The sequence below is a fragment of the Homo sapiens genome, chromosome 22, assembly GCF_000001405.40.
Source record: "Homo sapiens chromosome 22, GRCh38.p14 Primary Assembly".
NCBI lineage: Eukaryota > Metazoa > Chordata > Mammalia > Primates > Hominidae > Homo > Homo sapiens.
The window spans coordinates 29,180,263-29,205,892 of record NC_000022.11 but is presented as its reverse complement, the minus strand read 5'-3'; the positions used below and the strand labels follow the sequence as shown (position 1 = coordinate 29,205,892).

Genomic DNA, 25,630 nt, shown 5'->3' with positions numbered 1-25,630 from the left:
CGGGCGGGGGCGGGGGCGCGCGCTCCCGGCCTCGCCCGGCCCCTCTGCGCTGCCCCCCGCCCCCTGCGCCGCCGCTGCCAACCCGGAAGGAGCCCGGAGGGGCCCGGGCGGCCAGGGCGCCCCCGCCAGGAGGCCCGCCAGGTGTCCACCTGAGCCCCACGCCCTGCGCCGCGGGGCCCTTTTGGGGGCGGGGTGCCAGCTCCGAGGTGTCCTCCCACGGGCTGTAGACTGGGAAACTGAGGCCCGGGCCACGGTCCCAGACGCAGCCGGGACCCGAACCCACCTCACCTGAGCGAATGATATCCGGGACTCATCCTTTTTCGACACCTTTGCGGGATCCAGCCCTCCAAGGAAAGCTTCCTGAGCAGTGCGCGCCACGTGTATTGGGCACCTCACCGCGGCCACTTCACATCCTATCTCAGGTGACTCTTCAAGCCACTCTGCTCGAACTGGGCACAATATCCCCATTTTACAGAAGAGAAAACTGAGGCCCAGGCACTCGCAGTCTCCCTAGGAGGAGATCTGGGCTGACCCCATAAGTGCAGAGTCTGTTCTTATTCTCATTTTACAGGTGGAGAAACTAAGCCACAGAAAGGAGCTGTCATTTACCTAAAGCACCGTGGCAGGGGTTTGGCAGAGCCAGGATTTGTACCCAGATCGCCTGACTTCGGAGAGTAACAGCTCTTAACCACAGCACTTCGGTCTATGCCTTGATTTCACCATATGTAACAAGGTAAGAATTGGTGTTGGGTGGTTTCATCTGGGGTACATGGATGGGCTTCTGGAGGAATGGCTCTACATCCCACAAAGGTATATGTAAGCGTAGTGTGTGTGTGCAGGGGTGCATGTGTGTGTCGTATGTGTGTATGATGGATGTGTGTGCATGCTTGATGTGGATTTATGTGCATGTGTGTTATGTGTGTGTCTGTGATAGGAGTGTGTGTTTATAGGGAGAGACCAGAGCTCTCATCAGAGGGGACCCAGACCCCCAATCTCCCAGGGCAGTCTCTAACCCCGCCTTCTGCCTGGATCGATGGGCAGTAGTTAGGCCTGGGCTGGGGAAGCCCTTGCCCAGCTTGGCTACTTCCTGTTATGGCTTGTCCAGACCCACGGTCCCTTCTAGAAACACTCCCCAGAAAGGATCTGCCAGTCACTGGATTGCCCCTCCTGGACTCACCAGGGGCAGGCAGCATAGGCCACCATAGGCAGGCAGGCAGGCAGGACGGGGGATCCATCACCAGTGTGTCCACATAGAGAAAGCTGTTGCCCTGTCCCAAGGGACAGGTAGTGAGAGCTGGGTTCAAACCCTGCCTCTGCTACTTCTGCTCCAGTTAGCTCAGGCAAGTCTTGCCCCTCTCGCAGCCTCAGTGTTTCTTTTGCAGGGAGGACAGTTGTACATTCGTTACAGGAGTGTGGGAAGGATTGAGATATCATGGTAATGGCCTGTCACCCACTCTCCCCTACTTCACATAGTCCCCCAAGGGCTCCCTCTCCCTCCAGCGACATCACCATGGTGCCAATGTTGCCCCCTTGGGGAGCTGTTGCCCTCCTTTTCACGTGAAATTTTGGCACATCTCCTGTGCCATCTCTCTGACCTCCAAGAAATGCAGCTTTGTACCTCTCTGGTTAGCCCTTGTTTTTGACACAGCTAGATCAGTGACTTAACACCCTGGATAATTCGTCACTCCTGAGGAGCCATGCCCCCAAGAGGATGCCAGGCCTGTCTGAAACCCCAATCAAGCGGCCCAGATAAAAACCCATCACCCCAGGGGTGCTTTGAGCTGTTTAGGAAGCTCAAACATGCAGCTGTTTAGGAAGGAGAAGCACTGGATAATGCCTTGGAGGGACTGAGAGGTGTCTAGGGTGTCAGATGGGTGCCACAGAATGAGGAGGCACTACTAGGTCTGTTTGCAACATGTCTGAGATGCTCCTGCGATTAATGGCATCCACATTTCTTAACCAATGCCATCAAACTTGTGGCAGACTCAGGCCGCTGCAGAATTTCCCCAGCAAGAGACTCTCCTGGTAAAAGCTGTTATCAACATTTTCACATCAGAGAGGGGCCTGTCCTTACTGAGGCTGGGATTCCCGGGTCCAGGGTATTTATTTATCACTGTAGACCCGGATAAATAAATATAGATTTATTTATCACTATTTATCACCTTGTGGCTGTGTGGCCTGATGGATACACCCCACAAGCCATGTGACCCATAGGCCAGGGTGTCAATTCCAGAGCAACCTCTGGGAGCTGTGTGACCCAAGACAAGTCACTTCCCCTCTCTGAGCTTCATTTCTTTGCCTGAAAAAACAAGCCATGGGATCTTCTTTTTTTTTTTTTTTTTTTTTTTTTGAGACAGGGTCTCACACTGTCACCCAGGCTGGAGTGCAGTGGTGCCATTTCCGCTCACTGCAGCCTCAACCTCCTGGGCTCAAGCGATTCTCCTGCCTCAGCCTCCTGATTAGCTAGGACTACAGGTGTATGACAGCACATCTGGCTCATTTTTAATATTTTTTGTAGACACAGGGTCTTGCTCTGTTGCTCAGGCTGGTCTCGAACTCCTGGCTTCAAGCAACCCTCCCACATAGGACTTTTAAGGTCCCTCTGGCTCAAGAGTCTGAGCTTCTGGGAAAGTGTGAAAACGTCAGGTCTCCCCTTCAGTGGCCCTGGGGCACAGCTGAAGCCCCCGTTTAAGGGCTCACTTTCCTGTTGGATGACAGCCGGCTTTCTGGTCCTCTTTCCTAGTTGAGTGGAAAGGCAGGAAATGCCGTGGGGGCCTGGGGTTTTGATTATTTGAGGTTTCAATGTTTGCTGAAACTGAGAGGAGAGGGGCCGGCTAGCTTGAGGTCTCAGGGCCTGTCCCTGCGGGCGGGGCCTCCCCCCTGGGGGCCTGGTCCTTTCCACTGCCAAGACGAGACCACAACCGCCAGTAACGACAGCAGCTTCCGTTCCCCATGCTGACTGTGCGCCAGGCGCTGTGCTAAGCGTTTTGCTTGTATTGTCTGCTGCGATCCTCTCTGCCACCCAGGAGGAAGCCTTATTGTCCCCAGGTGTGGGGCTCACGGCTAGTGAGTGATGGGCAGCTGTCTATGAGTTTACCCACCAGACCACACTGCCACCCACTGGCTGAGCCCTGAAGCAGGTCTTCTTTGGGGTAAGAGATAACTTGGCTCACATTTGGAGTCCCATCTTGGGGCTGATGAGGCCAGAGAGAATGTGTGGACACATACCCAGACCTGGACCCACACCCAGATGGACCACACAGGGACACACACAGACACCCTCCCAGGGCAGGCCATGGGATCCGGGAAACACAGCCCCTCTGGGGCAGATTCACTGACGCATCCACCCTGGCCTAGTCCAAACAGGAAATGTTTTATCCTCTTAACAAACAACCTGGGCGGCAGCCTCCTTCCCCTGTGAAGTCTCTGGGGGCCGTAGCTAAGGGACTCTTTCCTCCCGCTGTGTCCTACAGGACTGTCTCTCCAGCTTGGGTGTGCCCCGTCATATCAGCCCTGTGCACACATTAGCTCGTGTGAGCCCAGGCACTCTTCCCATATCGTGCCTGTTCCATAGGTGAGGAAGCAGCCCAAGGGGTGCCCAGAGCCCATGGCCGCAGCCCCCAGGGGCCCAGGCCTAATTGCCAAGCAGTGCCTGGACACCATGAAAGGGAAGGGACCGTGTAAGCCACAGCCTTAAAAGCTGCTGACCAGACAAAGGACAGGGCCCAAGAGCAATGGCTGCTCTCTGCACTTTTGATCAGGGGGTTTGGCCCTCCTGTCCCTGGCTCTCAGAGATGGAAGCACCCTGCAGGGCCAGGGTCGGGGCGCTGGGAGACCTAGGCAGCCTGCAGCTGCCCAGCCGAGTTATTTATGCTCCATGGAGCTGCCCTTCTCATTCACCCAGCTCATTCTTTCCCCAGAGAGCTGGGACTGGGGCTGGAAGGGAGTAGTGGGAGGAAGGAAGCTGTCAGAAAATCATAAATTAGGGCTTGGGAGGGCCTTCCTGTCCTCTGGAATCTCCCGTTTTGCATCTTTGAGGGGGGTACAGGGGGACGACAACAGAATGACAGGGCCGGACATAAGCGAGCATGGCAGGACAGGGTACCTCTTGTTGGAGTGAGGAGACCTGGATGTTCTATGTGATCTAGAGAGTCCCTTCTCTCCGAGCTTCGGTTTCTGCATCTGGAAAATGGGGGTGTGAGGACTCGGGGACTTTCCTGCAACTGTGCTTTGTTGACTGCAGGAATGGACAAATGAGAGGCTTTCTCCTTAGCAACGTTTGTTCCCCCTTCCCCTCCTCTGGCAATTTCTCCTAAATCCTCCCCTTTCTGACCCCCCACCTCTGCCCTACTTGCCTTCTCTCAGGTCCCTTCCTCTGCTTCTCTTTCATCTCCTCTTGCAAAAATGGATGAACAGTATCTCCATATGCAGCATCCACCCAACTAGGGGGTAGAGGGAAGAGCTCTTGGCTCATTCCTACTAGAGTGTGAATGACTGATGTGTTTAATGTTTAATGTTGGGAGGAGGGGGAGTTAACAGGGCTTCCTGCCATTTAAACCCTAAATCGTTGGTAGTGGAACTTCTAGGCTGGTGAGGGAAATGTTTGGTGACCACAGCCTAGGAACGTGGCCTAAGACCTTCTGTATGGGAAGCTGTCCATCTCCCACCCCAGCGAGGTGAAGCCCACTCCCGGCTGGATGCATCTGAAGTGGCAGCTGTGAGTCCATGTGGTTGGACGGATCTGGCAGGAGGGAAGGGCAGACCAGAGAAGCCCCTCAGAGCAGAGGCCCTGGAGCAGCCCACCAGCCCTGCCAGTCCCGGGTGGCACCTGCCGGGTCATGAGCATGTGGGCCCGCCCCACCTGACAGCTCCAGGATGAATGGGGAGGTAGTGGTGGTGCTGAGAAGCAGGAGGAGAATGAGAGTGGTGGGGACAGAGGAGAAGTCAGAGACAGAGACAGAGAGATATAGTGAGTGACTCTCAGGAGAGTGTGCCAGGTAGCCAGAGAGAGAGGGAGACAAAGTGATCTAGAGAGATGTCTTCATCTTTCATAGAAGGAGACAGATGGAAAGACAGAGAGACAGAAAAAGAGACAGACAGACTTAGAAAGAGGGACTCTTTTGGAAGAGGGTCCTAGGTGGTTGGTCTCGGCTCCCATAGGAGCCTGGCAGAGGGGGCAGGACCGGGGCACCACCCCCCCACCATCCTGAGCCTCATTTGTTCTCAGCACCTCACAGACTCTGGCCTCCCTCAGACCCCCATCCCATGCCAAGGGTGGGAAGCCTCTCCTTCCTCCATCACCCACCCATGCATCTGGTAATGGCTGCCTGTGGGCTCTGGGCTGCTTGGGGCTGGAATACATCATGCTTGGGAAGCCCCATTAGACAGAGCCCTTGGGCCCAGGGGGAATGGATTCCTCACCTGAGGCTTGGTCCTGGGAGTCTTAGGTGGATGGACAGCTATATAGGGGGAGGGGGACCTGACTATAGATTGTCCCTGCCCCACCATCCGGTCAGCCTTGCAGGGCTAAGTCTGGGTCCTCTTTCCCTGTGTCCATTCCTTGGCTCCATCCCATCCAGCCTCCACCCCCTTATGGGATGTGGCATCGGTCTCCTCGATGGCCTCTTGTCTCCTCTGATACTTTCAGTCCTGCAGAATCTTCCCAAAGGCAAATGGAGCCAAGCAACCCTGCGAAGAAAACCTTCCAGTCTCCCTGTCCCCCTCAGGCTGAGAACTGAAGGTGGCCCAGCTTGCTTGTCCTCCCACTGTCCCCAGACCCTGGGACAGACCCCCACACCCAGGGTGGGCTAGGGGATGTCTCAGTTCCCTAGCCCATCCTGTGCTCTCCGTCTGTCTGCGGGTTTTCCTGCCCTGTCCCTCTGCCTGCCAATACCCACTCACCCTGCCTGAGCTCACCATCCAGTCTCAGCTCAGACATCACCCCCACTCCACCCCTAGAAGGATGTTTCACACCCCCAACACTGGGTCATGTGTCCACTGGGGTTCACCACTCACAGCGTTCTGGGCTGGGGACATCTGTTGATTTGTGTGGTTCCCCTGATGGATCATAAATAGGCACAGATGCTGAGCCCTTTTTATAACCTTTCTAAGAGTTCTAGGGCACATACAACTCCAGAAGCTGTACAAGATACATCTGGGTGCGTAACAATTTCTGTTTTTGTTGTTGTTGTTGTTTTTGAGACAAAGTCTTTCTCTGTCACCCAGGTTGGAGTGCTGGAGGACAGTGGCATAATCTTGGCTCACTGCAACCTCCACCTCCTGGGTTCAAGCGATTCTCCTGACTCAGCCTCCTGAGTAGCTGGGATTACAGACATGCATGACCACGCCTGGCTAATTTTTGTATTTTTAGTAGAGACAGGGTTTCGCCATGTTGGCCAGGCCAGTCTTGAACTCCTGACCTCAGGTGATTCACCCACCTCGGCTTACCAAAGTGCTGGGATTACACTGTGAGCCACTGTGCCAGGCCACAATTTCTGTATAGAACAAAAACACAGCTGACTCTTGAACAACATGGGTTTAAACTGATGGATCCCTTTATATGCGGATTTTCTTCAGCCCCGTCACCCCTGAGATAGCAAGACCACCCACTCCTCTTCCTCTTCCTCCTCCTCAGCCTACTCATCATGAAGACAAGGATGAAGACCTTTATGATGATCCACTTCCACTTAATAAATAGCAAATATATTTTTTCTTCTTTATGATTTTCTTAATAACATTCTTTTTAAAATTTTTTTTTCATATTTTTAAGAGTTGGGGTCTCGCTATGTTGCCCAGGCTGGTCTTGAACTCCTGGACTCAAATGATCCTTCCACCTCAGCCTCCCAAAGTGCTAGGATTACAGGCAGGAGCCACCACACCTACCCACATTTTCTTTCCTCTAGCCTACTTTATTGTGAGAATACAGTATATAATAACATATAAAATATGTGTTAATTTTTTTTTTTTTTGAGATAGAGTTTCACTCTTGTTGCCCCAGCTGGAGTGTAATGGCGTGATCTTGGCTCACTGCAACTTCTGCCTCCCAGGTTCAAGCAATTCTCCTGCCTCAGCCTCCCAAGTAGCTGGGATTACAGGCATGTGCCACCACACCCAGCTAATTTTGTATTTTTAGTAGAGACAGGGTTTCTCCATGTTGGTCAGGCTGATCTTGAACTCCCGACCTCAGGTGATCCACCTGCCTCGGCCTCCCAAAGTGCTGGGATTACAGGTGTGAGCCACAGCGCCCAGCCTTATGGACTGTTTATGTGATCAGTAAGCTCCCGGTCAGCAGTACGCTGTTAGTGGTAAAGTTTTTCGGGAGTCAAAAGTTATGTGCACATTTTTGAGTGTGCATGAGGGGGATCAGTGCCTTAATCCCCATATTGTTCAAATGCCAACTGTAATATGATTAATTGTGGAAATTTTTGCAATGTCTAAATTAGATAAAAAGGCTAATTTTCTCCACATATAAAGAGCTTTTACAAATCAATAACATTTGATCAATGACTTAATAAATGAATAAAATTTGTGAACAGACGACTAACTCAGAATGAAAAGGCTTCACTCAAAAGAAAAGCAATGTGCTTACGTGTGGTGGCTCACACTTATGATCCCAGCACTTTGGCAGGCCATGGCAGGATGATTACTTGAGACCAGGAGTTCAAGACCAGCCTGGGCAAGATAGCAAGACCCCTATCTCTACAAAAAATTTAAAAATTAGCTGGTTGTGATGGTGCACACCTGAGCAAGATCGTTTCTTAAAAAAAAGAAGAAGAAGAAAGAGTAAGAGAAAAAAAAAGAATTCAAATGAAAATCACAATGCAAAGCTGATGGTAAGGACTTAACATTTTTGATAAAATGGGTTGGCAAGGGTATGGGGAAAATGTCGCCTTCGTATGTGCCCTCTTTGGAGCACAGTTGGTAAATATATAAAACTGAAAGATGTATACCCTTTTGACCCAGCAATTTTACATCGAGGAAGTTTCTTACAGGTATATTTGCAAAGAACACAAGGAAATTAACTGCAGCAATATCTGCAGTAGCAAAAGACTGGAAGCAACCTAAACGCCCATTGCAGGAGATGGGTGAATTAAGGTACATCAGCCTGGGCAACATAGCGAGATCCCATCTCTACAAAAAATACAAAAATTAGCTGGGCATGGTGGCACGTGCCTGTAGTCCCAGCTACTCGGGGGGCTGAGGTGGGAGGATTGCTTGAGCCCAGGCGGTCGGGGCTGCAGTGAGCTATGATTGCAACACTGCACTCCAGCCTGAGTGACAGAGTGAGACTACTGTCTAATAAAAAAAAAAAAAATTAAATACATCCATCAGTGGAATACTACATTGCTGTTAAAAAGAAAGAGGGGCTAAACAAAATGTAGTATATGTGTACAATAGAATATTCACCATAAATAAAGGAACAAAGCACTGATACAAAGCTACAACATGGAGGAAACTTGGAAACATTACGTGAAGTGAAAGAAGCCAGACATGAAAGGCCATATATTGTATTTATAAGAGAAACCCACACTAGGCAAATCCATAGACACAGAAGACAGATTAGCGGTTGCCAGGGACTGAGGGCAAGGGATGCGGGGGTGTCCACTCATGGGTGTGGGATTTCTTTTTAGGGTGATGAAAGTGTCCTGCAATCAGGTAGTGGTGACAGTTGCACAGCTCTGACTATACTAAAAACCACTGAATTGTACACATTAAAGGGTAAATGTTTTGACATGTGAATTATATGTACATAAAGATGAGGCAGAGCTAAGTGTTTTGATATGGAACTAGTTTCCAAGATCACCTGTTAAATGAAGAAAGTTAGTATAGCTGTAAGTAAAGGATGCTGCCATTTAGGGGAAAATTGCAGGAATATATACTCATCAATATTAATATTTGAATTATGCATTCACTTTCTCTGGAAGGATTCACAAGAAACTGACTGCCTTCAGAAAGGTGAACTGAGGGACCGAGGGTGTTAGGTTTGTTTTTTTTTTTTCTTCTTGAGTTGAAGTCTTGCTCTGTCACCCAGGCTGGACTGCAGTGGCACAATCTCGGCTCACTGCAACCTCTGTCTCCCAAGTTCAAGCAATTCTCCTGCCTCAGCCTCCTGAGTAGCTGGGACTACAGGGGCACGCCACTGTGCCGGGCTAATTTTTGTATTTTTAGTAGAGACAGGGTTTCACCATGTTGACCAGGCTGGTCTCCAAATCCTGACCTCAAGTGATCTGCCCACCTGGGCCTAAGGTATTAGTTTTCATTATGAATCCCTTTGCGCTGTTTGAAAAAAATTTAGCGCCAAAAAGTATGCATGGCATAGGCACCCTTTGCCCTAAAAATGAAGTGTGTGTCTATGTGTCTGTGTGTGTGTACCTGCATGTGTGTCTGTCTGTATATGTGTTTGTGTGTCTGTGTATATGTCTGTGTGTGTGTCTGTGTGTGTGTGTCTGTGTATCTGTGTGTGTGTGTGTGTGTCTGTGGTGTGTGTGTGTGGTTTGTTGTAAAACAGCAGCCCTTGCCATTCCAGGCTCCAGGAGCTGCTGTCTGCAGCCGGGGAGTGTTCCTGAGTGCTGTGTGGAGGTTTCCATGTAGGTTTCCACCTCCAGGAAGAAAGATGGGGCAGAGGAACCACAAGTGACAGGGCTGATTCAGGAGCTCCTCTGAATCGGGCCCCAGCCCCAGCCCCGGGAAGCTGTGAGGGTGGCTCCTAAGGGAGATGACCCCTCCGTGCTCTCCCAGGAGGGACCCAGTGTCCTTGTCCTCAGCAGGCATGGCCCAGGGCTCCCAGTTGCTCGGGACACACCTGAGTGGAGGCTATTCAGGGCGGTGAGTAGGGGAGATAGGGGCCTGACCAGAGGGAAGGGCCTGTCTCAGGAGGTGGGCTGGTGGGCAGCCAGGTTTCCCCCCACCCCCGGCCTGCCCTACGTCTGCAAGTTGGGGCCTCACAAAGCCAAAGTTGGCTGTGTCCTGTGTCCTCCCTTGACCCCTCGGAGGGAGGAAAAGGAAGAGAGGGGGAGGGAAAGACAGAAAGACAGACAGTAGTATAGGGAGACACACACACACACACACACACACACAGAAGGAGACAGTGTTAGAAACAGAGATAAAGGGGCGACCACTGACCTGCTTTCCACTTGTCAGCCTCGAGCCTTTATCTATGTGACTGCACGCATTATCACAGCTGCCCCCAGAGGAGGGATCTGGCACAGGAAAGGGAGGCCAGGGAGGGTGGCAAACTGTTGCACAGCTAGCAGCATCCATATTCAAACTCTGGCTGCAGAACCCTAGGGCAGTCACCAGCATAGTGCAGGTCCAGAATTGGCCCTGGGACCCTACACCGTCCCCTTTCCCTCCTGACAGGCAGCCCTTGGCCCATCTGGGCTGACTATGCCCAGCCCTGGTGGGACATTCCCAGGGGCACAGCTGACCTGGGACTCCTCTGGCAAGAGAAGGGTGGCCTGGTGTCAAAGAGGGGCCCAACATGGGGCTAACGTTGTGGGGCCTGTAGGCCCAGGTTGGCCAGGAAAATGTTTCAATCCTGCCTGTTCCTGAGTGAGACACTGAGTAACCTTGGCCAAATTGCTTCCCCTTTCTGAGCCTCAGTGTGTTCACCTGGAAAATGGGGATAGGGTACTTGTCTCAGGGCAAGTTGTTACGAGGAGCATCTAAATGAGGCACGTGGATTTCTTTGCCCAGTGCCTGGCACAGACTGATCAAGAAATAGTACATAGGTTATATCCAAAGCATGTTGCATGTAGACTGCAGAGTGAGGAATCTGAGCAGGCTGGGGATGCAAGGCTTGGGACAGCAAGAAGCAGCAAGAAGGGTCAGCCTTTGGCAAAGAGGACATTGGGAAAATAATCTGAGGTTTTCTTTTCTTTTTTTCTTTTTTTTTTTTTTTGAGACGGAGTCTCACTCTGTCACCCAGGCTGGAGTGCAGTGGTGCAATCTCGGCTCACTGCAACCTCTGCCTCTTGGGTTCAAGTGATTCTCCTGCCTCAGCCTCCTGAGTATCTGGGATTACAGGCACCCACCATTATGCCTAGCTAATTTTTGTATTTTTGTAGAGGCGGGGTTTTGCCAAGTTTGCCAGGCTGGTCACAAACTCCTGACCTCAAGTGATCCATCCACCTCGGCCTCCCAAAGTTCTGGGATAACAGGCGTGAGCCACCATGCCCAACCAGAATCTGAGGTTTTCTAAAGGCCCTTTGCTACCAACTGTCACCTGAAATGCTTCTATAAGCCAGTCTTAAAATCCCTAAAGCAAAGAAAACTCATGTTAAAATTCAAAACTCTTCTCTAGGAGGGATGTATTTACAGAAGACTAGACTGAATTATTCATTCATTTACTGCCCTTTTGTCTTGCTTTGGTCCTCTAAGTACTATGCCTGCAATTAGAAAGCTCCACCACTGGGAGGCATCTTAGTTTTGTGCCTGCACAGAGATGAGATTTCCGCCCCCACCCCCCCCCGCCCCACCCAACACACACCCTTCTGGATGCCAGCTCTGATCCACTCCTACAAGTTGCCTTTTAGAAGAACAAAAAGGGATAGAGAGGCTAGAGAGTCTTTAGATTAGTGGAGAAGAGTGCTGTAATCAGTTCACCATGTCTGTACTGGGTGAAGGAGTGGAAAGTAGATTCTGTGCCAGGCATTCTGCTACCTCTAGACTGTGCTTCTGAGTAGATAAGTATGTTTTTCTATTTCATAGTACTTTTTAGAATAAGTGGAACTCTTTTTAAAACACTTGAGCCTACATAATAGAACTATCAATCACTGTGTAAGGAGGGATGCTTGTACGAATCATTTTTGCAATAGAGAAAATATAATTTGAGATTGGATACTTACACAGAGAGATATTTTAAAAGGCAAACACTGGCCAGGGGGGTGGTGGCTCACACCTGTAATCCCAGCACTTTGGGAGGCTGAGATGGGAGGATCACTTGAGCTCAGGAGTTTGAGACCAGCCTGGGCAATGTAGCAAGACCCCAGCCCTAAAAAACATTTAAAATTGAGCCAGGCATGGTGGCCTGTAGTCCCAGCTACTGAGGCAGGAGGATCACTTGAGTCCAGTAGTTCGAGGTGACAGTGAGCCATGATCATACCACTGCACTCCAGCCTGGATGACAGAGCAGGACCTTGTCTTTATAATATAAAATAAAAAAAAATATATTTAGGTGCAGCCTTTCTTACTAATCATGAATGATCAAGAATTCCTGATTTTTTTTAACAATGATTTTAAAGAGAGAAACCTTTTATGCCTTTTCTTACCTGCTTTTTCCTATGTGCTCTAAGTCACTCTCATTCTTTTTTTTTTTTTTTTTTTGAGACGGAGTCTCGCTTTGTCGCCCAGGCTGGAGTGCAGTGGTGCGATCCCGGCTCACTGCAAGCTCTGCCTCCCGGGTTCACACCATTCTCCTGCCTCAGCCTCCCAAGTAGCTGGGACTACAGGCACCCACCACCATGCCCAGCTAACTTTTTTTTTTGTATTTTTAGCAGAGACCGGGTTTCACCGTGTTGGCCAGGGTTGTCTTGATCTCCTGACCTCGTGATCCGCCTGCCTTGGCCTCCCAAAGTGCTGGGATTACAAGCGTGAGCCACCGCACCTGGCCACTCTCATTCTTGCAGATGAGATGGTCATAGCTTCCCTTAGGTCTGCGGCTGTCTGCCTGCTCAGCCTCTGACTTGGTGAGCCAGTTATTGGAAGAAACTATAAAGGAGTGAGAAAGCTTTTTTGGCTGTACTCTTCTTAAGAATTGCTGAGTTTTATAAAATCATTCTTTTTCATCCATAATCCTAAGAGGCTTCGTAGAATCTTTTTTAGTAGTAAAATATTATAATAGCAATATAATATCATTAAAGCACTTTTTTTAAAAAGAAAATAAATCACCCATAATCCATCCATCTTAATAAAACGATTCCCCAGAGGTTTTTTTTTTTTTTTCCTTTGGAAGGTTTTTTTTTGGCCTTCTTTTTTGCCAAAGAAAGAGAGGTTCCAGCCCTTTGAATATCTTTCCCCATCCCCAGGGAGCTGAAAATCCTCCTTCTTTCTCTTACTCTTAGCTGCTTGGTCCTTTGAAGTCAAAGCTGGTTTTATGTCTAATCTGCACTGAATGGGTCATTACTGATGGGCACATGTGGGATCAGAGGGGCCTGACACAGGCTGCCTTCTGCACAGGGCAGGAGTTGTCATAGTTTCCTTCCACACGATTGCTGTGTCACATGCCGTGAACGTAAGCATTAGCAAACGCACATCTGCAGGGCGGGACACACCAGATATCTTTGGGGACATTATGGGTGTGTCAATATCTTTCAATATCTTTTTTTTTTTTTGAGACGGAGTCTCGCTCTGTCACCCAGGCTGGCGTGCAGTGGCGTGATCTTGGCTCACTGCAACCTCCGCCTCCTGGGTTCAAGCAATTCTCCCACTTCAGCCTCCCGAGTAGCTGGGATTACAGGTGCGCACCACCATGCCTGGCTAATTTTTGTATTTTTTTAGTAGAGATGGGGTTTCGCCATGTTGGCCAGGCTGGTCTCGAACTCCTGACCTCAGGTGATCTGCCCACCTCAGCCTCCCAAAGTGCTGGGATTACAGGCTTAAGCCACCATGCCCGGCCTCAATATCTTCTTTTTAAACATTTTTAATATTTTTATTTTTTTGAGACAGGGTCTTGCTTTTTTACCCAGGCTGGAGTGCAGTGGCACAATCTTGGCTCACTGCAGCCTTGACTTCCGAAGCTCAAGCGATCCTCCTGCCTCATCCTCAACTAGGACAACAGGTGTGCACCACCACACCTGGCTAACAAAAAAAAATTTTTGTTTTGTAGAGACGAGGTCTGCCTATGCTGCCCAGACTGGTCTTGAACTCCTGGGCTCAAGCGATCCTCCCACCTTAGCTACCAAAAGTGCTGGGATTACAGGCATGAGCCACTATGCCTGGCCTTGTACAGTATTTGAATTATGTGTCAATAAAGCCACACATACACATTCAAACAGAACAGATTCTAAAGGTGAGAAACATTTTCTGGTTTCCAATTTGTTACTTTGGTGATCTCTAACGAATCACTTTTGTAATTAAGTACACACGTGCTGGCTTTGGCGGCACATATACTAAAAATTGGAACAACACAGAGCAGATTAGCATGGCCCTTTAACAAACTGAAAGATACTTAAACATAAAAAGAAATTATACGTAAAAAAAGAACATATGTTATTTTTAATTTAAAAAACACATTCACTGGCTGGGCGTGGTGGCTCACACCTGTAATCCCAGCATTTTGCGAGGCCGAAGCAGGCGGGTCACCTGAGGTCAGGAGTTTGAGACCAGCCTGGCCAACATGGTGAAATCCCGTCTCTACTAAAATACAACAATTAGCCAGGCATGGTGGCCCGTGCCTGTAATCCCAGCTACTTGGGAGGCTGAGGCAGGACAATCACTCGAACTCAGGAGGCAGAGGTTGCAGTAAGCCAAGATCACACCACTGCACTCCAGACTGGGCGACAGAGTGAGGCCCTGTTAAAGAAAAAAAAGTTTTTAATAAAAGAATTTAATAAAACCACATTCACCACTCTTAGGTATCTAACCAAGAGAAATGGAAATAGGGTCACACAAAAACTTGCACCTGAGTGTTCACAGCAGCATTATCTGTAAGAACTAAAAAGCAGCAACGACCCAAATGCGCGTCGACAGATGAATTGAACAGACAACATGTGGTCCATCCACGCAATGGAATATTGTTTGGAAGGAATGAAGCGCTGACACATGCTGCAACATGCTTGACAGCATTATGCTCCGTGAAAGAAGCCAGCCGCAAAAGGCCACATGGTGTATGATTCCATTTACGTGAAATACCCAGAATAGGAAAATCTACAGAGACAGAAAGTGGTTGCCAGGAGCTGGTGGTGGGGTGGGGGCTGCAGGAGAATGGGGAATCACTGCAAATGGGTATATGGTTTTTTTTTTTTTAGACGGCATTTTGCTCTTGTTGCCCAGACTGGAGTGCAATGGCATGATCTTGGCTCACTGTAACCTCCACCTCCTGGGTTCTAGTGATTCTCCTGCCTCAGCCTCCCGAGTGCTGGGATTACACGTGCCCGCCACCACGCCCAGCTAATTTTTTTTTGAAATGGAGTCTCACTCTGTTGCCCAGGCTGGAGTGCAGTGGTGCAATCATAGCTCACTGCAGCCTGGAACTCCGGGTTGAAGTGATCCTCCTGCCTCAGCCTCCTGAGTAGCTGGGACTACAGGCACCTGCCACCACATCCAGCTAGTTTCTCAATTTTTTGTAGAGATGGGGCCTCTCTTTGTTGCCCAGGCTGGTCTTAAACTCCCGGCCTCATGTGATCTTTCTGCCTCGGTCTCCCAAAATGCTGGGATATCAGGTGTGAGCCACTGCACCTGGGCACTAAAAACTCTCAATTACAGCTACACAGACCCTTTTCCAAATAAGGGCACCTTCGCAGGTTCCTGGACATGGACCTATGTTTTGGTGGGGGCCACCATTCAACCCACTGCACCTCCCTACCCCAACCTCCATTGTTCAAGCTGGGTCACCCTGCCCTGGTCTCTAGGCGTCCTCGGTCTCCAGCCCTTGCAGCCAGAGGAGGCCAGACCCACGTACCCTGCTACTTGGAGTCTCACAGTGGCTCCCAGGGCATCTGGAAGCAGCTCACGCTTGACCTGCAAAGCTCCATTGCCCGGCCCTGCTGGCATCTCAGGCACCCTGTTCCCACCACACTGACCTTTTCCCCGGTTCCTAAAGGGCTCCAAGCTTTCTCTTGCCTCCAGAGTTCCTCCATGTTGATCTCCCTGTTCCTTCCACCCGGCACTCCTCCTCCAGGCTTCACCTGGGTGCCTTTTGCTTACCCGCAAGTCTCAGTTTAGGTGCCCTACCCCAACCCCAAACCTCTCTTCACAAACTGAGATGTTAGGGGCCCCTTGGGGGCTATAGCAGCAGGTTATAGTGGTGGGGTTCACCTGGATGCACTCTCTGGACTGGGAGCTCAGCCTGGGCAGGGCTACATAGCTCGTGTCTATCTTGCTCCCTGTAGAATGGCAGTGTTCTTTTTTTTTTTTTTTTTTTTTTGAGACGGAGTCTTGCTCTGTTGCCCAGGCTGGAGTGCAGTGGCACGATCTCGACTCTGCAACCTCTGCCTCCTGGGTTCAAGCAATTCTCCTGCCTCAGCCTCCTGAGTAGCTGGGACTACAGGCACACGCGAACATGCCCGACTAGAATGGCAGCGTTTCTGAGGGTGGGAGGAGGGCATAAGGGTCAGATGAGCCTGAATCTTACTCTTCACTTTCCACCTCTTCCCATCTTCCTTCCTCATAGTCTTGGGGAACACTTTTTTCTCACCTTTAAAAATAATTTTTTTTTTTTTTTCTAGAGACAAAGTCTTGCTCTGTCACCTAGGCTGGAGTGCAGCAGCATAACCATAGCTCACCACAGTCCTGTCTGCTGGGCTCAAGCAATCCTCCTGCCTCAGCCTCCTGGGTAGCTAGGACCACAGGCATGTGCCACCATGCCTGACTAATTTTTTTAAATCTCGTTTTTGTAGAGATGAAGTCTTGGTATGTTGCCCAGGCTGGTCTCGAACTCCTGGCCTCAAGGGATCCTCCCACCTTGGACTCTCAGAGTGTTGGGATTACAGGCATGAGCCACGTCACCTGGCCCTTTCTCACCTCTAAAATCTGAAGTTCTGTTTGAATGTGAAAAAAAGACAAGAAAAAAGAAAGGAGGGAGGGAGAAAAGGAGGGAGGGAGGCCTCCCCCTCACACACCTTTTCTGCCTGAATTCCCAGACGCTGTCTTTTACTCCCAACTGCAATCATTTGCACTTAATTCCTCCAACTTCAAGTTGTTTGGGGTCAAAGGAAGGAACACAGGATGGGAATGGGGAATGTGTTCAGGAATAGGAGGAGTTACAGAAACCTCAGGGCCTCTGCTCAGACAGGTGGTGGGATGAATCCCACAGATGGGAATAATCAGCCTTGAGTCTCTGAGCGAGTGACTCCTCCCAGGTGAGCCTCAATGGCTCACCTGTATAATGGGATGATAGCAGCCACCCTGCAGCTGAGGACTGGGGAGTTATGTTGAGTGCCCGGCACACAGCAAGCAAGCACTCAGTATGTGGTGGCAACAGGTAACAATTCATAAAACCGTAGAGACTATGTGAAATGCCATTTCAGTTTGCAAACATCTCCAATCCCCAGAATGTTCCCCACTGGCCTCCTGGGCAGCTGAGAAGAGTAACAGCATTGTGGGATGGTGTTATGGTTTGAATTATGTCCCCCCCACCACCCCAAAAGATGTTGAAGTCCTAACCCCTAGGATCCGTGAATGGGACCTTCTTTGGAAATGGGGAGTTTGCAGATGATATGTTGAGATGAGATCTCGAGGGTGGGCCCTAATCCAATGTGGCTGTGTCTTTATATAAAGGGGAAATGGGACACAGAGACAGACGCTCACAGAGGCAGATGATGTTAAGACACAGAGAGAAGATGGCCACCAACAAGCCAAAGAGCGCCGGAGGCTACCCGAAGCCAGGAGAGGGGCCTGGAACAGATTCTCCCTCTCAGCCTCAGAAGGAACCAGCCCTGCCCACACTTTGATTTCAGATTTCCAGCACCAAAATAGTGAGACAATAAGTGTCTGTTGTTTAAGCCAGGCAGGTTGTGGGGCTTTGTTGCAGAGGTGGGAATAAGACAAATCCACTGTCAGAGCAAAATGGGCCTTCTAGGGCCGGCAGGATCCCCCAAAGGCTCCAAGGAGATGGACTCGAGGCCAGTGCCAAGCCCCGCCAGCCCCCAGTCACTGCCCAGGCCCATGGCCAGGCCTGGCTGCTCCTCGGCCCCCCACTGCCCCAGCAGGAGGGCACCAGATGCTTCCAGGACAGAAATCTGGGATGCATTTGGAAATCCTGGCAGAGCGGTTTCAAGTTAGGCCCTGTCCTAACTGGGTGAACCGCCATCTGGATCCTGTTTGCTGGCCCCTGCCAGGAGAATCTGAGTGGGATTTTGGGGGAGCCGTCAGGGAAGGGGGCCACTCCCTCTGTGGCTGGGTGCAGTCAGCGGTCCTGGGTGGAATCCTGGCCCTGCCACTCGCTGGGTGACCTCAGGCTGCTCATGTCACCTCTCTCTCTTGGCCTTCTCACCTGAAAACTGAGGACAATCCCAGAATGCACCTTGAAATGTCGCCACCAGGATTTACTAGGATCATGAGAATAGCAGGCTGCTTAATGAAAGGGAACTTCAGATTTCTTTTCTTTTCTTTTTCTTTTTTTTTTTACAAATTCTGGTAACATAAATAATGTAAAATTGACTTTTTTTTTTTTTTTTTGAGACAGGGTCTCACTGTGTCACCCAGAGTGGAGTGCAGTGTGGTGATCATAGCTCAGTGCAGCCTTAACCTCCCCGGCCTCCAGGGTAGCTGGGGCTACAGGCATGTGCTACCATGCTTGGCTAATTTTTCTATTTTTTTGTTGAGATGGAGTTTCCATGTTGTCCAGGCTGGAAAACTGACCATTTTGCTTATTTTAACCAATTTAAAGCATTTTAAAGCATACAGTTCAGTACATTCACATTGTTGTGCAACTATCACCCCCGTCCAGAACTTCTTCATCTTCCGCAAATGAAACTGTATTGGTTCAACACTGACTCCTCATTCCCCCATCCCTCATTCTACTTGTCTCTACAATGTTGACGACTCTAAGTACCCCATTTAAGTGGAATTTTACCATTCTATTCATTACAAAATATAACAAAATTTACCTTTTTTTTTTTTTGGGAGACGGGGTCTCACTCTGTCACCCCTGCTGGAGTGCAGGGGTGTGATCATATCTCACTGCCACCTCGATCTCCTGGGTTCAAGCGATCCTCCCACCTCAGCCTCCCACGTAGCTGGGACTATGGGCATGCACCACCATAAACAGCGTATCTTTTTGTAGAGACGGGGTTTCGCTTTGTTGGCCAGGATGGTCTCGAACTTCTGGGCTCAAGCCATTCCCCCACCCCACTCCTCAGCCTCCTAAAGTGCTGGGATTACAGGCATAATTGCACCACCGCACCCGGCAAAATTGGCCATTGTTAAGGGTACAGTTCAGTGGAATTAACTAAACTTTGTAGTGTTGTGTAACCATCACCAACATCCATCTCCTGAACCCTTTTCATCTTGTAAAACTGAAACTCTGTATTCATTAAACAATAATCCCCATTACCCCTTTTTCCCAGCCATCACCATTCTACTTTCTGTCTCTATGATTTTGACTACTCTAGGTACGCCATATAAGTGAAATCATACAGTATTTATTGTTTTGTGACTGGCTTCATTTACTCAGCACAATGTCCTCAAGCTTCATTCTCATTGTAGCTTGTGTCAGAATTGCCTTCCTTTTCAGGGCTGAATAATATTCCATTGAATTGACAGACCTCATTTTGCTTATCCATTCTTCCATTGATGGATATGTGAGTTTCTCCACATTTTAGCAATTATGAATAATACTGCTATGAACATGGGATCTCTTTGAGACCCTCCTTTTAATTCTTTTGGGTACATACCTGGAAGTGGAATTGCTGGGTCACATGGATAATTCTGTTTAATTTTTTGAGGCATCACCATCTGTTTTCCGCAGCAGCTGTGCCACTTTGCATTCCCACCAGCAGCACGCAAGCGTTCGAATTTCTCCGCACGCTCCCCAACAGTGAGTAGTGGACTGTTCTCCGGGGCTGCCTGGCTCCTTTCTCTGGGGAGCTCGAAAGGGGCACTTTACTTAGGGATGCCAGAACTCCTGGAATCCTGACTCCTTTTGAGTTTCTAAGGTTTCTAGAAGATCCCAGGGCCCTAGGGGAAGCCCACTGTGGGAGTGATGGCCTGGCTCTTGGCCTGGGGTGCACACTGGGCTGGGGAGCGCTGGTTCCAGGCACGCAGGGGTGAGGAAGTAGCTGTGTGCATAAACACTGTGTGTATATAAACCTGTGTAAACCAAAGTGGGAAGTTGCTGCTATGCCGGGAGACCCAGGCTCATTTGGAGATGTTCAGTAAGCATCTGACATAGGGCCTGGAAGTCTCTCCCTCAAAGGGCTGCATCTGGGCTCCGGTTCTGCCATCAGGACAGCCAGGCTGGCCAGGTGCGATAGCTCACGCCTGTAATCCCAACACTTTGGGAGGCCGAGGCAGGTGGATCACTTGAGGTCAGGAGTTCAAGACCAGCCTGGCCAACATGGCAAAACTAAAAATACAAAAATTAGCCAGGCGTGGTGGCACATACCTGTAGTCCCAGCTACTCGGGAGGCTGAGGCAGAAGAATTGCTTGAACCTGGGAGACGAAGGTTGCAGTGAGCCGAGATGGCACCACTGCACTCTAGCCTGGGCAACAAAGTGAGACTCCAGCTAGGCTGGACTCTGCCTGAGAGAAGCTGAGGTTCCCAGACATATGGCAGGAGGAGGACTGATGCTAGGGAGGGGACAGAGCCTGCTCATGATAGACAGCAGGGGCTGGCCTCCCTGGGCCCTGAACCCCGTGGGTGTTCCCAGAGGATGGAGCTCTTAGCCCCTGAGTCAGCCTCACACACGACTGGGTCTGCTCCCTTGGGCCTCCCTACTCCCTCGGGCTCAGCAGAGCCTCAAGCCCAGCACAGATGAAATAGCTCTTGGCTGGATGGTGGCCCAAAGGGCCTTGTGATCATCCTTCCGCACAGTGGTCTTCACCATCCACGGAGAAGGGAAAGCAACAGAAGCTGAGAGCCAAGCATGGGGCCTGGAGGTCGGACAGACTTGTGCCACCCATTGGCTTGAGCAGGGACCCCATCTCTCTCAACCCCAGTCTCTTCACCTGTACGCTGGAGCTAATAATGACGGTGGCTGCCTGATCGAGCAGGTGATGATTCAATGGCGCAATGTACAACATACAGCCGGCACCAGGCACATTGTAAGTAAATGGCCCTGTTTCCATCAGAAAGGAGAACAGCTGCCTGGACTGAATATGCAACAGGACACCCGGAATGTGTTTTTTGGATGCATCAGCTCACTTTCTAGCCACTGGCCTCTTCTAGAAGTTGCACACAGATAAAAGGTCCCAGTTAATGAGGATTCTGGTTAAAGTTTTAAAATTCACAGCAAGCCCACTCCGCATAATAATGTATCAGAAACACAACAATCCTTTAATCTAGAAGGAATTAATTGCTGGGCCCAGAAATTCAGGGCACGCTGACAGAATCCTTAATTTCTCGAGCTGATGGTTTCAAAAAGCGACTGATTTTAGACTGGCTTCTCTCTAGGCGTACGTAAGGCTCCCACAGCCCCAACAAAAGGCGAGATTGTCTTGGTGTCTAACTCAGTAAGAATCACGTATGTGGGGTCTGAATTAATGTCAGCTCTGAATTTTTCCTGCTGAGTGGAACGTGGTGGACCTTAACCCCCAGGAGATTCAATGGCAGCTCTGTGGCCTGGGCACCCCAGGCATCGTCCAGGGAACGTCCTCACTCGTCCCACATGTGTTTACAGAGCGCCTACTCTGAGCCAAAGCTCAGGTTCTGTGTTGGAAATGCAGGAGCCAGCAAGACCAGCCTCAAAGACAGACACACAAACCCACGGTCAGATAACTGCTTGACTGCACGTCGTAAAAAGGAATGAGGCAGGGTGTCTGAAAGGACATAACAGGCTGGGCACAGTGACGCACACTTGTAATCCCAGCACTTTGGGAGGCTAAGGCGGGAAGATCACTTGAGGCCAGAAATTCAAGTCCAGCCTGGGCAACATAGTGAGATCCTGTCTCTGCAAAAATTAAAATATTACCTGGGTATGGTGGTGCATGCCTGTGGTCTCAGCTGCTCAGAAGGCTGAGGCAGGAGGATTGCTTGAGCCAGGGAGGTTGAGGCTGCAGTGAGCCGTGATTGCACCCTTGCACTCCAGCCTGGGTGACAGAACAAGACCCTGTCTTAAAAAAAAAAAAAAAAGAGAGAGGACAATAGGGCCCTAATTTAGATGACAGGGCCTGGCAGATAGGGCCACAGATCTTATAAAATGTTTTTATTTATTTATTTTTTGAGATGGAGTCTCGCTCTGTCTCCCAGGCTGGAGAGCAGGGGCCTGATCTCGGCTCACTGCAAGCTCCGCCTCCCAGGTTCATGCCATTCTCCTGCCTCAGCCTCCGGAGTAGCTGGGACTACAGGCGCCCGCCAACACGCCTGGCTAATTTTTTGTATTTTTAGTAGAGACGGGGTTTCACCGTGTTAGCCAGGATGGTCTCAATCTCTTGACCTCATGATTGGCCTGCCTTGGCCTCCCAAAGTGCTGGGATTACAGGTGTGAGCCACCGCGCCTGGCCTTTTTATTAGTATTATTATTTTGAGACAAGTTCTCACTCTGTTGTTCAGGCTGCAGTGCAGTGGCATGATCACAGCTCACTGCAGCTTGGAACTCCTGGGTTTAAGTGATCCCCCTGCCTCAGCCTCCTGTGTAACTGGGATTACAGGAGTGTACCACCATGCCCAGCTAATTTTTTTTTTTTTTAATAGGGACAAGAGCTTGCCGTGTTGCCCCAGGCTGGTCTCAAACTCCTAGCCTCAAGCAAACTTCCTGTCTCGGCCTTTCAAAACCCTGAGATTACAAGCATAAGAAAAGAAAATCTTGTAAGATGAAAGCTGAAGGATGAGAGCAATTAATTGATGAAGTATGATGATCCAGGTGTCCCTGGGTGAAGAAACAACCTCTACAAAGGCCCTGAGGTAGGAATATGCCATTATAGGACCTAGGAGCTGTTCTCAGGGAGCTGACGGTGATTGAGGCTCATGGAACAAGAAAAGAAAAATCATCATCACCATTGTCACTATCACTACCATAGTCAGATGAAGGTGAAGTCTTACAAATACTTCATATGGGGCCAGGTGTGGTGGTGTGTGCCTGTAATCCCAGCACTTTGGGAAACCAAGGTGGGAGGATTGCTTGAGACCAGGAGTTTGAGACTGGCCTGGGCAACATAGCGAGATTCTATCTCTGCAATTTTTTTTTTTAATTAGTGTGACGTGTTAGTATGCGCTTATAGTCACAACTACTCAGGAGGGTGAGGTGGGAGGATTGCCTAAGCCCAGGAGTTTGAGGCTGCAGTGAGCTATAATTGCACCACTGCACCCAGCCTGGGCAACAGAGTGAGACCCTGTCTCAAAAACAAAAGAAACAAAAAGCCTCATGTAGGATCATATACACCAGGCCCTGTACATATTCCCAGGAGAATCTGAGCACCATTTAGGGCCCCAAAGGGATCATCTTGGGTGCAGACTGGGAGGCAGGAGACAGCCAGGTAAGGACATAGGCTCTGGGTCAGATGACCTGGCTTTGCATCCTGACTCCCCTCTTAAGGCAGGAGAGAAGGCTCCCCTCCCCTCCCCGTCTCACTCTGCCACCCAGGCTGAAGTGCAATGGTGCAATCATGGCTCACTGCAGTCTCGACCTCCCAGGCTCAAGTGATCCTTTGGACCACAGGCATGTGTCACCGTGCCTGGCTAGTTTGTTGTTGTTGTTGTTGTTGTTTGTATTTTTAGTAGAGATGGGGTTTCCCCATGTTGCCCAGGCTGGTCTCGAACTCCTGGGCTCAGCAGTCCACCCACCCCTGCCTCCCAAAGTGCTGGGATTACAGGTGTGAGCCACCGTGCCTGGCCTGTAGTTACAATAAACTACAGAGTGTAAAATTTCACCAGTTTGACATGTCTTCACCTGGGAAATCATCTCCACAATCAAGACAGTGAATCTATCCACCACCCCCAAAAGTTTTCTCATTCCCCTTGGTCACCCACCTCTCTCCTGATTCCCAGGCAAACACTGATCTGCTTTCTGTCACTATAGATTATTTTGCATTTTCTAGGATTTTTCTTCTTTTTAAGAGACAGGGTCTCACTCTGTTACCCAGGCTGGAGTGTAGTGGCATGATCATAGCTCACTGCAGCCTTGAACTCTCAGGCTCAAGCGATCCTCCCACCCCAGCCTCCCAAAGTAGCTGGGAAGACAGATGCACACTGCCACACTTGGCTAATTTTTATTTTTTATTTTTTGTAGAGATGGGGTCTCCCTATGCTTCCCAGGCTGGTCTCGAACTCCTGGACTCAAGCAATCCTCCTGTCTTGACCTCCCAAAGTGCTGGGATTACAGGCGTGAGCCGCCTCACCTGGCCTATAGAATTTTATACAAATGAAATCATACTGTATGTACTCTTTTTTGGTCTGGCTTCTTTTATGCAACATAATAATTTAAGCTTCACCCATGTCATTGTGCATATTACTAGTTCATTTCTTTTTCCTGCTAGGTATGTTTCACAACTTGTTTGTCCACTCACCTGTTGATGGACATTAAGTTGGTTACCAGTTTGGGGCTATTATAAATAATGCTGCTATGAACATTTGCATACACATTTTTGTATTGCCATATGTGTTCATTTATCTTGGTTAGATACCTAGGAGTGGACCTGCTGGGTCTCAAGGTAATTGTATGTGAAGTATGAGAGAAACTGCCAAGCTGTTTTTCTTTTCCTTCTTTTTTTTTTGAGATGGAGTCTCGCCCTGTCGCCCAGGCTAAAGTGCAATGTTACAATCTCGGCTCACTGCAACCTCTGCCTCCTGGGTTCAAACAATTCTCCTGTCTCAGCCTCCTGAGTAACTGGAATTATAGGCATGCAACACCACACCTGGCTAATTTTTGTATTTTTAGTAGAGATGGGGTTTGGCCATGTTGGTCAGGCTGGTCTCGAACTCCTGACTTCGTGTGATCCACCTGCCTCAGCTTCCCAAAGTGCTGGGATTACAGGCATGCACCACTGCGCACAGCCCAAGCTGTTTTTCAAAGTGATTGTAAAACAGTACCTAAAAGCTCCAGTTGCTCCACAACGTCACCAACCCTTGGTATTGCCAGTTATTCAAATTTAAGCCATTCTAATAGATGCGTAGTAGTCTCGCTGTGATTTTAATTGGCATTTCCCTAATGATTGATGCTATGGAGCATCTTTTCACCTGCTTATTTGTCATCCGTACGTGTTTTTTTGATCAAGTGTCTGTTTCAATTATTTGTTCCCCATGGGCACTCTTAAAAATTCTTTGTTTTCGTATTATTGAGCGTTGAGAGTTCTTTATATATTCTGGATATGAGTCTTTTTTAAATCAGATATGTGATTTACGAATATCTTCTTTCAATCTGTGACTTGTCTTTTTATTCTCTTAACAGTGTCTTTCTTTTTCTTTTTGAGACAGGGTCTCGCTCATCACCAGGCTGGAGTACAGTGACATGATCATGGCTCACTGCAGCCTCAACCTCCCGGGTTCAGGCTATCCTCCCACCTCAGCCTCCCAGGACCACAGGCGTGTGCCACCATGCCCAGCTAATTTTTTGTAGAGATGGGGTTATGCCATGTTGCCCAGGCTGGTCTCGAGCTGCTGGGCACAAGCAATCTACCCATCTCAGTCTCCCAAAGTGCTGGCATTATAGTCGTGAGCCACTGTGCCCAGCCAACAGCGTCTTTCAAAGAGCAGAGAGAGGTTAATTTTGATGATGTCCAGTTTGCACCTTTGTTGAAAATTGACCATATATCTGTGAGTCTGTTTCTAGACTCTTTGTTCTGCTTTATTAAACTACTTGTCTATTTGTACACCAA

The 25,630-nt window shown here is 49.5% G+C and overlaps 1 long non-coding RNA gene and 1 pseudogene across 25 annotated transcripts, besides 3 other annotated features; both read left to right on the top strand.

The window, feature by feature from the left end:
* LOC101929638 (uncharacterized) lies at positions 61-25,630 on the top strand. Of its 25 annotated transcripts, none has more exons than XR_001755477.2 (6): positions 61-422; positions 572-733; positions 19,631-19,696; positions 20,694-20,923; positions 22,512-22,721; positions 25,230-25,630. It is a non-coding gene; the product is annotated as an uncharacterized LOC101929638 (long non-coding RNA). The 25 variants fall into 25 exon arrangements; XR_001755476.2 differs by having other exon boundaries at positions 19,628-19,696; positions 20,694-20,872; XR_001755475.2 differs by having other exon boundaries at positions 19,628-19,696.
* Positions 2,830-2,949: a silencer, noted in NCBI's record as "silent region_13584". NCBI's record gives its function as "represses an Ori minimal core promoter by ATAC-STARR-seq in GM12878 lymphoblastoid cells {active_cell/tissue: GM12878}" and the evidence as "EXISTENCE:reporter gene assay evidence [ECO:0000049][PMID:35858748]".
* Positions 8,478-8,772: an enhancer, noted in NCBI's record as "tiled region #4816; K562 Activating DNase matched - State 6:EnhF". NCBI's record gives its function as "activates a minimal TATA promoter and a strong SV40 promoter by Sharpr-MPRA in K562 cells {active_cell/tissue: K562}" and the evidence as "EXISTENCE:reporter gene assay evidence [ECO:0000049][PMID:27701403]".
* Positions 9,584-10,422: a transcriptional cis regulatory region, noted in NCBI's record as "candidate enhancer chr22.1165 targeted for multiplex CRISPR interference". NCBI's record gives its function as "positively regulates EMID1 gene expression in K562 cells {active_cell/tissue: K562}" and the evidence as "EXISTENCE:mutant phenotype evidence [ECO:0000015][PMID:30612741]".
* Positions 14,085-14,196, top strand: RNU6-1219P (RNA, U6 small nuclear 1219, pseudogene; annotated as a pseudogene).